Source organism: Homo sapiens, chromosome 2 (assembly GCF_000001405.40).
Source record: "Homo sapiens chromosome 2, GRCh38.p14 Primary Assembly".
NCBI lineage: Eukaryota > Metazoa > Chordata > Mammalia > Primates > Hominidae > Homo > Homo sapiens.
Window position 1 is genome coordinate 3,464,454 of NC_000002.12, and position 13,364 is coordinate 3,477,817.

A 13,364-nucleotide genomic window follows, 5' to 3' on the forward strand; every position below is an offset into this window, starting at 1 on the left:
TCCAGTCCCAGTTTGGAGGAAATGGAACATGTAGAAGAATAAAGAAATAAAAGTACCTCTGGGATTATACGATGAGTAAGTAAGAAGAAAAACACCATTGGTGGCCATAGTTACTGCTGACCGCGTGCTTATAGCTAAGTGCGAGAATGCAGGGGAGCATTTAGTGCAGGGCCTGCCGCACACAGCTCGCTCAATAAATGCGGCGATCACTGTCATCCTGGAGAGAGCCCGGGTTTGCTGGGGACTTGAGACAAGCTACCACTGTGTCCCACGTGACTTTGGCAAGACCTTCCTGCACGGAGACCGCGTTGCTCACACCTGGAAAGGGTGACTGGGTCCGCTCAGCGTCCAGCAAGTGGCTGTGATGGGCCGGCATGAGTGGGCAGATGGACAGTGAGACTGTGCTGCCAGGCCTTGCCCTTGAGGAGGGGCCACGGGCCAGACCACCACAGGCAGGGCAGAGCGATGAGGAATCCAGCAAAGGCCTTTGGCAGAAACCAGATGCCCTGAGCACGGCAGCTGGCACAGCGCTCCTACATGTTCCCCCGTAGCTGTCTCTAAAACGGGAAGGTCTCATGCGTGCCGCACGGAGCACACGACATTCACGCACTCTGCAAGGCCGACCTCCATCACATACTCAGCCTCAGCAAACTTGTTTTGTGGTTTTTCTTTACATGTAAAGGTTTGACCTTAATTTCTAGCATAGAAAACGTTTAAGAGACACTTTAAAAATTTGGCCTATGTATTTGGAGGATGGAGATGAGACAGCGTTCGCCAACTCACATGATAACTTTGTCAGGAAAGAGAGTTAGGTGCAGTCCAAGTGAAATATGAATCGCTGTTTAGAAGATGGAAGCAGGAAACAGACCCTCAGGCCCAACTAAACCGCGACAGCCCCCGGTGACAGGCAGGACCCCGCCGTTGCGATGCGCACAGCTCAGAATCCCGGCCCGACTGCAGTCGGGAGAGCAGCCGCCCCCTGGCAGCCGAGCACCGCGTGCTGGTTTCCAGCTTCCCCGCCAGCTCCTGCGTCAGCGTGTCCTCTCTCTACACCGCGTCTGTATACACTTGTGCTCTTCTACACGTGTGAAACCCACAGTGCTGTTCTCAGCTCTAAAGTACGTTGGGTTTTTCTTCCCACAGGATTATGTGCTGGCCGTGGAGGCGTATCATTCGGTTATCAAGTATTACCCAGAGCAAGAGCCCCAGCTGCTCAGCGGCATCGGCCGGATTTCCCTGCAGGTACCTGTGCACGGTCAGACATGAGCCAGAAAGGCCTTATGATAGTTCTTTGCTCAGATGGGCGACTGTTTGCTTTTAATCATTTTAATATAAGAAAGACTGCAGAAAATATTCCAATTCAAATGTATGTGACCATGAAAAGGGTGGGTTCTTTCCAGGAGTTCTGGTTTGACTGTGGGAGGCCCTGCTGGCTTTTGTGCCTGTTGCTAAATGTGAACCCACAGAAAGTGTCATCACAGCCACACTGAAATGAGTTACTCTAGACATTGTCCTGCTGCAGTTACGAAAGCACTGACTAAACCGTGAGGAATCTCAGTTCAGCTTATCCCGTAATAGTCACTCGCTGATATTTTGCCTGAAATAACCCTTGAATCATGTTTGCTGGACAGACAAAGTCCAGACTGAACAGTGGTCTCAGTAATGCACAAAGCTCGGCAGGACCCCCTTTGCTAAGAATGTCCTTGAAGCTGGAATGCATTTTCCTGGAATATTTGGTGACAGGGAGGTCACAGGGAGTGATGAGTCCCGCCCACATCCCTGTCAATCCCACCCTTGCAGGCGGAGCACAGGGCAGCTTCTGCCCCTCTCACCCTCAGTCTTAGGTCACGTCCCAAACCTGGGCCAGGGAAAGGAGGCACGAGCAAGGGATGGCTGAGCGGGGAGAAGCAGCACAGACCTTCCACAGGCACCCACTCACGGTGAGCCAGGCCCTGCGCTGAGCATTTCACCTCACGGTGTGACTGGCTTGTTTTACAGATCAGCAAACTGAGGTCTCCTGGTTAAGTGATATCCAGCTACAGGAGGCCACATAGATAATGGGGAAGCTAGAATTTGAACAGGGCCTCTGTGAACTCAGGGCCTGCACTCTCAGCTAACAGCTGGTCCTCTCCCCCTCCACACAGTTGCTCACACATGCACTGACACACGTAGGCACACGTGCACACACCATCTCCTGCACGCCGCCTGCTTGTGGAAGTCCACATGGGACACCAGATAGTGTTGGAGGACAGCCCTGTCCATGGGCCCCTGTGGTGGGGCACAGCAGATGACTGTCACTGAATAACCCCAGGCAGGCACAGATGCGTGACGCGTGAGCTGCCACCATGGGCATCGGCTCCTGCCTGCACTGGGATGCTTGCAGCAACCCTCGTTACCTGTGTGAGAAAGCTCTGTGTGGCCAGGATCTCCAGGCTGCCTCATGTGTAACATTATCCCCTGGTTATCATAGTAAAATAGTACGCTGGGCCTGCTCAGATTCCTCACTACCCTGGAGACAATCTCGGAAATTTTATTTCAGAGTCATATTTTGCACAATTTGAGAAGTAGATGCTGAATTGCTTTTGCGTCTGGAAGTGCTTCTCCTTCCAGGGGGAGCCACTGGCTTGACCACAGCGAGGGCTCTGGCAATGAGGCTGGAGTCTCAGGAGGGAGGCTCAGCTTCCACAGTGTGATTTAAGCCCCATCTGGCGCACAGAATGTGCTAACCAGGCTGCAAGGGAAGCCCTCGGTGTTCGCTTTTCTGAGGACACGGGGAGGTGATAGCGGCGCTGTGGGCAAGAGCTTTTGCCAAAGGAGAATGGAGAAAAAGACGGAAGCACCCAGGCCGACTGGACTCACCGACGCCCCACACAAGTGCCTCGATCTGCATCTCTTGCAAATTATTTATCAGGCCTCGCTCATGGGTATTTTTACTGTTGCTGAAGAGCAAGGTCTCTGAATTCTGTTTTTCTAAAGGAAATGGAGATTGCAATACCTAGCTATTTGGGATATCTCTGAAGACGTTGTGACGTGGCTGCTACAGAACTTCTCAGACAGCCTCGCGCAGCTGACGACTGCATTGCCATCTGCACATACAGAAAACCCAGCCCCAGTAAGTTCCGGCTTGGGCAGGTCAGTGTGTTGTCTGAAGATGCTGGATCTGGGAAGAAGGATGAAGCAGGCAGGTTTTGCCCTTGAAGAACACAGCCATTTGTGGGAGTCAAGGCCCGAGAGCACCGTTGTGATCAGCAAGAACGACCACATATCAGCCCAGTGGATGCCCGAGCACACAGCAGACCCCCACCCAGTTCTGAAACACTCCTGGGTGCACCTGGACCCGCCCTCTCCAGACCTCTCCTGTGTTGGGACCTCTCCTCATCTCCGCTGGGTTCAGCAGAGGGTTGCAGAGGCGGGACCCTGTGTGTACACGTGGTGCTGAGCTGCCAGAGATCTCAGCACGTCCCTCGTCCCCCGTCCTGCGCGTAGCTGCCATTAGCCTTCCGGGAGTACACTCCACCCTGCCGTCTCTGGTCAGAGGTCCTGCTAGGGCCTTGTGGCCTGTCAGGTGAGCCCACACTTAAAGCTCACATTCAGAGCCCTAGCTAACCTTTTCCAGCCCAGTGTTCTTCGCCTCATGTCCTTAGTCCCACCAGACAGTTGATTTGCTGTTGCCCAAACGGGACCACACTTGCTGCTTTGACCTCTCGTGGGCTGTTCCTGCTGCTCAGAACTCCCTTCTCTTTCTGCTTGTGCAAACCCTGCCCATTCTTGAGGGCTCACTGGAAGGACTTCTCTAAAGTCACCCCAGCCCTCTCAGCAAGCTCTCCCTTCCCTCTTCCCCAAGGCATCTACGGGGGATAAAAGCACAGGGCTCAGGAGCTGGGGTTTGGAACAAGACAGACCCCGACCCTGGTCCAGCTGCTCAGGCTGGCGTGGCTCTGAGCAGTTTATCTCACCTTCATGGTGTCAGTCCCCCCATACAACCGCCTGCCGTGAGCAGTCATCATCGTCGTGTGTAGATGATAAAGTTTATCCATGTGAAATCCTCTGTGTCCTGCCTGGGACATGCCAGGAGCGCTGTAAGCGTAACTTGCTGTCTTTCCTATGTCTTGAGGATGGGTTGTGTTTGTTCCGTTCCTCACAGATCCAAGTGTAAGGGCGGCATTCCCAGGTCTCAGCAAAAGTACGTGTGCTCAGAATTGCCCTTGGAAGCCCCACTCCCACGGCGGGGCAGCCACCCCATAGAGTGACTCCAGTGCACACGTGGGCACGAGGCCCTCCAGGATGGGCTGTAGGAAGGGGCAAAAGCCGTGTCCCCACGCACGTATCCGGACACTCACACCCCACGCGCCAGCCTCAGAGCTCCTGCTGGCGCACCCTGCTCACCCCCAATGCCGCATCTCAGCACGGGATGGAGGACGCCACACGGAGTCAGATTGCAGTCGATGAGAGGTCAGTGGTGCAGGACAAGATGGGGTTGAACGGGGACTCGAGTCCAGCAGAAACGCCTGAACTAAATGTAGACAGAATTGACTGCGCTCTGTTTTAAGGAGAAAGAACTCAAATGGAATGAACACGTAAAAGCCAGCAGAGAGCTCTGTTCCGAAGGGACGTAGCGCTCAATGCCTACTTTAAACTCAGAGTGTTCAGCCACGGTTAGATTCTTGGAGAAACAGCCCTCAGAGAAGTCACTTTCAAGAAAGCACGTGTGTTTTCCAGCTCTTGCAGTGTTCTTCTCCCTGAAGCACCTCATCAGTACCTGTATCTTAATTATACGGTCTCTAAACTGGCTGTGTGTGAGCCATTCTGAAATGAGTTGGTGCCACTACGGAAGCAAAGAAGTATCACATGCACTGTCAGCACCTGTGTGCTGTGCTGTCAGAGGGGTAAATTTCATAAGAAATACGTATATTAGTAACTGTCCCTCAAATGGTAAAATAATACTGCAGGTGCTTAGAAAGTACGGGACGAGGTTTTGGTTGCAGTCAGTGGAATCCGCAGTGGCTGCTATAAGCAGAAAAAGTTTATTCACGGACAGTAGTACAGGGAATCTTCATGAGGGCCCAGAGACAGGCCATTCTAGAGCCACAAAGCCAGGATGCCGTAGCACGTCACAGGCCCCTCCAGCAAGAATAGCACTGCCAGCTCTGCCTGGCATCTCAGAGTCTTGTCCCCACCCTGCAGACCCAGGTCCCCCACACGGCCTCCTGCTTCCGCTGCCTCCTCAGGCCATGTCACCTTATGTGCGTGCATCTCTCTGGGGGCCCAGGCTGCGGGGTTGCCCCTCCTGCAAGAGTAGGAATGTAGGCCTCCTGGTTCCTCCTTGAAAGGACCCCTGACAGGTGGGAAATGGACAGAATCGGGGAAGGCAGGGCCAGCAGCAGTCATGAGCATCCCTTACAAATCACATTGTAACATCTGAAGTCATGTAACACAAAGCTAAACGCGCGTGGAATAAGATTGATTTCGTTTCTCTGAGATTAGTTTCTACTCTTATGTGCATGGAGATACAAGGGAGGCTCGGCATTTTCTACAATCTTGAATGTTATCTCCAGACCAGGGAGGATTTGGGTTTCATCAGCATTGAAGGTGGGAGATGAGGTGGGCATCGCGTCGATGCTGAGTCTCGGGGAGAAAGCTAGGAAATGTCCCCAGCAGGTAGGGAAACGCTTGGCAAAGCACAAAGGCAGAGGGACCCACATAGCTGGGCCCATTCTGCTCACGCCCTGGCACTACTGCAAGAACTGTGGTTTTCCGGGTCAACCCTAGCGAGGAGGGAGCACAAGCAGAGCTTCTCTGCGGAGAAGGCAGATTTCCAGCTCCTAAGAACACCCTGTTCCACAAGGAAGCTGACGTGCCCCTCCCCAGGGACCCACGCCAAAAGGCCATTCTTCCAGGCCAGCGTCCCAGGGCGCTGCTGTGCGTGGTTCGCAGCCCCGGCAAACGATGGCCTGCACTGCGTGCTGTCCGCCCTGTTCCTGCTGGACTCTCTGCACTGTGTCCTGATCACCCTCTCAGCTGATAGTGGGCACTGCAGTGTGAATCTTCTCATGGACAACAGACCAATCCTGCCTCCACCAGTGCCGTCGCCAAATCAGTAACACAGAGCAACCTCAAACATTTCTGAATGTTTAGGTCATCTAATACTTGGCAAAAGAGTGGGCCGAACACCTCCACCCTCAGCTTTCTCTTCTGTTTGTGTGTGAGTGTGTGTAGCAGAGTCTGAGAAAGATACATACAGCCACCTTCCTTTTCTGAGCTTGGGAAAATTTGAACAAGAGCACTGAAATGCAAACACTAATCAAAAAGGAAGTATTTTCCATTTTAATTCTAAAGAGTGGAAATAGAAAAAAATGATTTTGCTAAAACAAAATATGCAGACACCTTTGGGAAAACGTGCTATAAAGGAACCATGCTAACTCCAGAGATGACCCAGCCGGACAGAGGTGAAAGGGGTGGACGGACAGCAAGGTTCTAGATGATTCCACACAGTTGGGCTGAGAACACTGTCACCGCACCTCCTCTTTGTGTTTAAAATTTTGCATTGAATGTAGGTGCCTCTGAAATATGCGAGCTAAAAATAGGAAGCTCACTCACTGACCACACCAACAGTTGCCCGGTCACACGAGAAGATACACTGGCGAATACAAGGATGGCACAGATGCCCTCACTTTGTGTTAGGCCTCCGAGGAGCTGACTTTCAATTTTAATATTTCAAAACGTATTCTACTTTTGAATAGCAATCCTTATTCTTTCCAAGAAATTCATAGCATAATTCTGGGCACTGAGCAAAGGGTCACCTGTTCGGTTTGTGTGCTGTTCACATTCCAGCTGGAAACCCTGGCTCAAATTACAGAATTGTACTTGGGGTTTAATGCCTGCATATAAGGGAGGATCCATCTCCCCCCTCGGCCTCGTCCCGCAGGCAGAACTATCATAGCCACGTTCCCTGCCAACTGTCAGCGCACCCGCCAGACAGGTGACAGCCGTGTTTCAAAACTCACATGCCTGCTGTGATCATTTCCACAGTCCCTTCATCTTCATCACACAGAGCCTCCTTTAGAGCACCAGGGCCTCCACACAGCAAGGGGGCTGGGGGTTAGGAGGAGAGAGAATGGGGCCCAGTGGGAATTTCCAGTTCTGAAGGAAATCTGTGTTGTAAGCAAGATTGAAGTCATTTGTATTCCAGAGGAGTTTCTCACATAATCTAAATTAAGGAGGGGCAGAAGCAACTGATCTTCAAACAGAAGAAGCATTATATTCATACTTCTTAGAATTACTTCACTCCAACTTAGATTCCACCTCAGAATCTCTTGACTTGGGTCTTAGAGGGTCCTCACTGGGACTTGGGACTGAGAGGGTCCTCACTTGGACTTGGGTCTGAGAGGATCCTCACTTGGACTGGGAAAGTAGCTGTGGTGCGCAGGTGCAAGTCCAGCAGCCAAGCACAGACGAGGGGCCTGTGCTTGGCATTGGGGCAGCTGAGCGCAGGGTGGTTCTGCAGTGTCTGTGGCCAGTCCTAGGCCTCGGTGTCCTGGACCAAAGGTCAGAGCCCAAGGTGATCAGGCAGGAGAAAGCCTCAGCCACTGCAGGAGTGGTGGGAAGTTGGGATAAACCAGCCACCCCAGGCAGGACGAAGGGGGACGGGATGCAGGACCACTCACCGCTATGGCTGAGAGGACCTCAGCAAGAACCAAGGTCACCTCTGACCGAGTTCCCAGAGAGCAGGAACCCAGGGCAGGGTGGGGAGACGCTGAGGTGGAAGAAGGGAAGGAAGGGCCAGGGAAGCGCTGTGAAGCTGGGAAAGACTTGAGCACGTTTTACAGAGGGGCACGACCCCAGGCTCCAGGAGGGGTGCGGGCACCTTGACCGTCTCGACGAGGAGGGTGGTTTTACGCACACAGCCACGTACCAGCATCCCTCAGGTTGTACGATCTGAAGACATGCAGGTTCCTGTACATCAGCCATAGCTCAACAGAGACCTTCAAATAGAAAAAGAAGAGACTGACTTCTGGCTGCCAGCCTGAGCCGTGGAGTGTGCTGGCTACAGTCAGGGAAAGAGTGGGGAGAGCGTCCTCCAGCCCCTGCCACCCTGTGAGGCCTCATCATGCTGATGTGACACCGAAGTGCAAGCAAAAAGAAAATGTAGGTAAGTGGGATTTCACCAAAACTAAAAACTGTTGTGCTTTAAAGGACACCATAAAGAAAAAGTAAAAAGACAACCTATGGCATGGGAGACATTGCTTGCAAATCCCGTATCTGATAAGAGACTTACATCCAGAATATATGAAGAACTCTTACAGCTGCTAAATTAAAAACGATTCATGGCACTAGCATGCAGCAGGGGAGAGACTGGACTCAACTCTGACTTCACGGAGGACAGGTGGGAACTGACAACCAGGGACCAGGGTCAGGGTCAGCGTCCCTGGTTGGAAAATCACCCAGAGGAAGCTTCAAGAAGGGGTTTCTGGCCAAGCAGACTTGATAGGATCGTTGCTGACAGCCGGCCAGGGTGGTAGGATCTCCAGGTGCTAAGACACCGAGGGCGGGGACTTTTCTTAAACTGACTTAGCAGGATTCTTGCTCACACTGGATTCTACAAGGACAGAGAAGGAAGGCAAGGTCAAGCTTGTCTGGTAGAGGAGGCTTCTGCACGGATGCAGCCTAATTTATGCATTGACAGCCTGCCTGGTTCCCAGCAGGCCCTCGGGTTCTGCAGAGAGAGCAGGTGAGGGGGGGTCAGGGGAAAGGAGAGCACCCCTGGGGCCGGCTCTGCTGTGCTCACGCCGGGACGGGAAGAGGAGCTGGTGAAGGAGAACTCAAGAAAAACATGGAAGAGAAGCTAGGGTACTCTGAAATAGATCGCATCTTTCTTTTATTCGTTTATGTACATTAGCCTGGGGGGATTTGCCCAGTTGGAATGGAACAGTTTTTCTGATAAGCTTTAAAATACAAGAATGTTTTATAACATAAAAATTTAGACTAAAGTTTTCCGTGTTGGTTTTTGGGTAGGGTTTTTCTGGTGGGTTTTTTTGTCTGTTTTTGAGACGAGGCCTCGCTCTGTCACCCACACTGGAGTGCAGAGGCGCAAATGCAGCTCACTGCAGCCTTGACCTCCTGGGCTCAAGCAATCCTCCCGCCTCAGCCTCCCGAGTAGCTGGGAACAGGAATGCACCACCATGCCCAGCTAAGTTTTTTGTAGAGAGGGGGTCTTGCCATGTTGCCCAGGCTGGTCTCAAACTCCTGGCCTCAAGCAATCCTCCTGCCTCTGCCTCCCAAAGTGCTGGGATTACAGGCATGAGCCACTGGGCCCAGCTGAAATGAGTTTTCTGTATCAATTGCAGACCTATGCTTCTGTGACTAAAGTTGATCAGTGGTAAATATGAAAAGAACTGGGTTTTCTAGCTGACTACAGATTTAATATCATCTAGCAACCTATGTGGCTGTTAACATAGCTGTTCTGTCTTTGGATGGTTTAAAATCATCTGACTCCCACACCACAGAGAAGAATCATTCTTGCCTTCCTCTCCAGTCAACAGCTCACAGCCATGGACTGCAGGACACTCCGCCTTGAGAACACTTTAAAATGGCCATTGCCCATCTGTAATGGCTTCCGTGCCACCAAGGTGATGAGGAATCCCAAAACTGTGACAGAGAAGCAGGTGAAGGAGCTGAGAACTGGAGCTCTCCCCCACCCCTCAGTGCCTGTATTAGTTGGGGCTCTCTAGAGGGACAGGACTCATAGAATAGATGAATCTATGAAGGGGAGTTTATTAGGAGAATTGACTCTCGATCACAAGGTGAGGTCCCACAATAGCTGAGGAGCAAGGAAGCCAGTCCAAGTCCCAGAACCTCGGCAAGTCTGCTCTTTCCAACTTCTGCCTGCTTTATTCTGGCTGTGATGGCAGCTGAAGAGATGGTGCCTACCCAGATTAAGGGCGGGTCGGCCTCCCCCAGCCCACTGACTCAAGTGTTCATCTCCTTTGGCAACACCCTCACAGACACACCCAGGATCAATACTTTGCATCCTTCAATTAAATTGACACTCAGTATTAACCTTGACAGCGCCCAAGGAGGGGAGGGCCAGACCCAGCGCACAGTTCCAGTTTCTGCCACGGAAACACTGACCATGTGTTGCTCTTAAGGTCGGAGCTCCAGGGCGGCGTTTCCCCGGGTTTCTGCGTTTATAAGTGATGTTAGTATCTGGTTTGCGTGTGCACAGGTGACATCTCAAAAGGATATGGTGGCTGTTTTCTGTCTTCATATAAGTTAGAAGCTTGCTTTCTCTCTCTCTGGAAAACTTGAGTAATGTGGAATGATCTATTCCCTGAAGGTTTGAGTATTCACCTAAGAATTGCCTTTGCTGAGCACATGAGGTGTGCTGTGTGCTTTTCCTAATTTATTATTATGAATCTGCCTTAGTGTTGTGTGCCTGAGGATTTTTCTGTGTTTCTGGGAACCATTTTGGTAACTGAGAGTTTTCTAGAAAGCCACCTGTTTGGTCCCTGTTTTCTCGTGGATTCGCACAGAGTAAAAGACAGTGCTCTTACCATTATTTCCATTTCCTTGTTCTGCCTGTAGCTATTTCTACTTTTACATTTCTGTTTATGCTTCCTTTTTCTGGATTAGTTTATACACTGTTTTTTGTCTTTTTCTTTGTGAGACAGGATCTTGCTCTGTCTGCCAGGCTGGAGTGCAGTGGCACAGGTATGATTCACTGCAGAACTCCTGGGCTCAAGAGATTCACCTGCCTTAGCCTCTCATGTAGCTGGGGACCACAGTGCTTACGGCCACACCTGGTGCTTACAGCCACACCTGGCTAATTTTCTTTTCTTTTTTAATGGAGACAAGGTCTCACTTTGTTGCCCGGTCTGGTCTTGAACTCCTGAAATTCAGCGATCCTCCCACCTCGGCCTCCCAAAGGGCTGAGATTACAGGTGTGAGCCACCATGCCCAGCCACTGTATTTCCTTTTTAATAGTGTCTTTTACTGATTTGTTTTCTACATATTCTGGAATACTTTTAATTGCATTTTTATGTTTAATTTTTTCAGTTGCTCCTAACTTTTAGAAATCGGTAGGATTTTGTATCCTAATTACATTTTAATAATTCTGAAAATGTCAAGTTACTTTCTAATCATCAGGAAAGTCAGTGGGTAGCAAAGAATATCCCAAGATTTCTCTGTTATCTTCCTCTGAGACATTGAGTAAAGTCCCATGCCAGCCTCAGGAGGCCTTGCAGTGCGGAGGATCAGCACACGGTCTGGGCGTTGGACAGCCTGGGTGTTGACCACAGTGTTCTGTGTTAGCTGTGTGACCTCAGAAAATTGTCTCATCTTTCCAAGCCCGACGACTTCATCTAGAAAGCGAAGCTAGCGACAGCATCTGCATCCCAGGCTGTCGCGAGGGTCAGGCGAGCTGTGCTTGTAAGCGCTTGCCACGGCCGCCGGCACACGTTAATCTTGATCGGTCTTGATGATGGGCTGTAATCATCTTCAGTTCAGTGTCTCACACGGTCCTGTTAGACAGGAGATGCAGGCGTTCGAGCTGAGGGCCGCGTCACGGAGCCCATGCTGCCTTCGGTTTCTTTTTAGTCCGCAAGTGGGAAATCGATAGTAGTGGACTTCAAACGGCTTCGGACTGTGCAGACGACGGGCAGCGATGGACAGATGCCATTCAGTGTGTGGTGTGTGTGCACGCCTGTGTTTTCTCTTGTTTCATTCTGTTTTTTCTTCCTCCTCGTATGGTATTTCTTTTGTGGGATAACAGCAACAGTTGTGAAGGGCCTGAGATGTTATCCTGTTTCCAAGCTGTGGAGTTAGCTGCCACTTTCATGGATGCTGGCAAAAAATGTAAGATTCCTACGTTAGAGAGGAAGGCTATTTATTACACAGCAACAGCAGTACAGCCAGAGTGGCATTCTTCCCACCAGCCACGGGGCCCTGATTCCTCAGGGTCTTCACCGAGGGCCTCATGAGGCCTGCAGTGGGCTGTGTGGCTGGAGAGGAATCCTGAACTTAGAACACCCAAATCCTTGCTACTGGGAGGCGAGCCTGCCTGCCCTTTGCCCCAGAGGGATGCAGTTTAGCTTACAAGGCTGTCCTCTAAACAGGCATCCTTGTGTAAATGCTTTGAACAAAGCCTTGTCACTGTCTGTGCTTGGAAGACATGCAGAAACATGACACCCATGGAGAACCATCTCCCCACCAGTCATCTGAGAAGTTAGCAGGCTTGTTTTAATGCTGGACAGATGCTTGGCGTGGACAGTCTAAGAGTTAACTAGGCTGCTCAGTATGATAGTGATGGGTGCCCCAGCCCTCCTCATGGAGGTGAGCCGCGCGCATTCAGCTTGTTTCTCATCGAGACAGAGGACAGCATTCTGTTAAGTTTCTGCTGCTGCCATGATAACAGAGCTCGCTGTCACATTCTGGCTCCCGCAGGCTGTGCCCCGGACACAAAGCAACTCTGTCTTTACCCTCGTGAGCGCGGCTTGGGCCATAATAGGACTTTTCTTTCATTTGTATCTATTTCTTATTGTAAGCCTTAGATCATTTATTCCCTTCCTTACACTTCTAGAGGTGAAAGAAAACCCAAGTCTGCCTTTGTAAAACCAAGCTGTGGCCTCAGGAGTCAGGGCTGGGGCACTCAGCCTTCCACCCCCCAGGCCTCCTCTGCCACAGGCCTGCTGCATCCGGCTGCATTTCAGTCGGGCAGCCGGTGGGTTTCCTGACATGCGTGATAAGAGTGGGTTTGAGTTTGGTTTGGCTTGTTTTTTACAGTTGAATTCTATATTATTTGGTCAAAATATTACTTTGCAATTTGCAAATGTGGTGGCACCTACCATTTTACTAGCCACAAGTAACTCATAAGTTGACGTAGGACCTGCTCATATTATACCAATATTTTAAGTATTTTATGTTTCATCTTATTAGTTATTCATTTTATTTTATCTAATGCTCTGCCAGAATTCATTCCAAAAGGTAAAAATTACTAAACTATAAGACTCTTAAATAAGGCGTGTATATTAGCAACTTAGTTTCTGACATATAGAACATTAACATTCCACTGTATCTTAAATGTCTTTTGCCTTTTTATTAAAAAATGATTAAATGGTTACTGAAGTTTTCCTCTGCCTGACATATAAATGTCTTCATATTCTAACATGATATTAGGGAACTAAATATATGAGTATAGACTTAATATTTCTTTTGTCAACTAAACTGACTAAATTTTGTCAAAGCAGATTGGAGACATAAAAACAGCTGAAAAGTATTTTCAAGACGTTGAGAAAGTAACACAGAAATTAGATGGACTACAGGGTAAAATCATGGTTTTGATGAACAGGTAAATATTTTAAAACTAAATA

At 50.2% G+C, this 13,364-nt stretch overlaps 1 protein-coding gene across 8 annotated transcripts in view, besides 2 other annotated features; it reads left to right on the forward strand.

Annotated features, from left to right (window-relative positions):
- Positions 1-13,364, forward strand: part of TRAPPC12 (trafficking protein particle complex subunit 12) — a 99,872-nt gene that overhangs the window by 84,760 nt on the left and 1,748 nt on the right. For 6 of the 8 annotated variants that reach the window (NM_016030.6, XM_011510350.3, NM_001321102.2 and 3 more), the window contains 2 exons: positions 1,144-1,242; positions 13,242-13,342. In NM_016030.6, coding sequence (NP_057114.5) covers positions 1,144-1,242; positions 13,242-13,342 — 200 coding nt within the window. Of the gene's footprint in view, positions 1-1,143; positions 1,243-1,800; positions 4,453-13,241; positions 13,343-13,364 lie in introns of those variants that run through there. The other 2 variants (XR_007076381.1, XR_426956.4) reach the window with 2 other exon arrangements.
- Positions 7,191-7,692: an enhancer, noted in NCBI's record as "H3K4me1 hESC enhancer chr2:3475415-3475916 (GRCh37/hg19 assembly coordinates)". NCBI's record gives its function as "activates a minimal SCP1, AML or CMV promoter by ChIP-STARR-seq in primed H9 embryonic stem cells {active_cell/tissue: H9 hESC(primed)}" and the evidence as "EXISTENCE:reporter gene assay evidence [ECO:0000049][PMID:30033119]".
- Positions 7,693-8,192: an enhancer, noted in NCBI's record as "H3K4me1 hESC enhancer chr2:3475917-3476416 (GRCh37/hg19 assembly coordinates)". NCBI's record gives its function as "activates a minimal SCP1, AML or CMV promoter by ChIP-STARR-seq in primed H9 embryonic stem cells {active_cell/tissue: H9 hESC(primed)}" and the evidence as "EXISTENCE:reporter gene assay evidence [ECO:0000049][PMID:30033119]".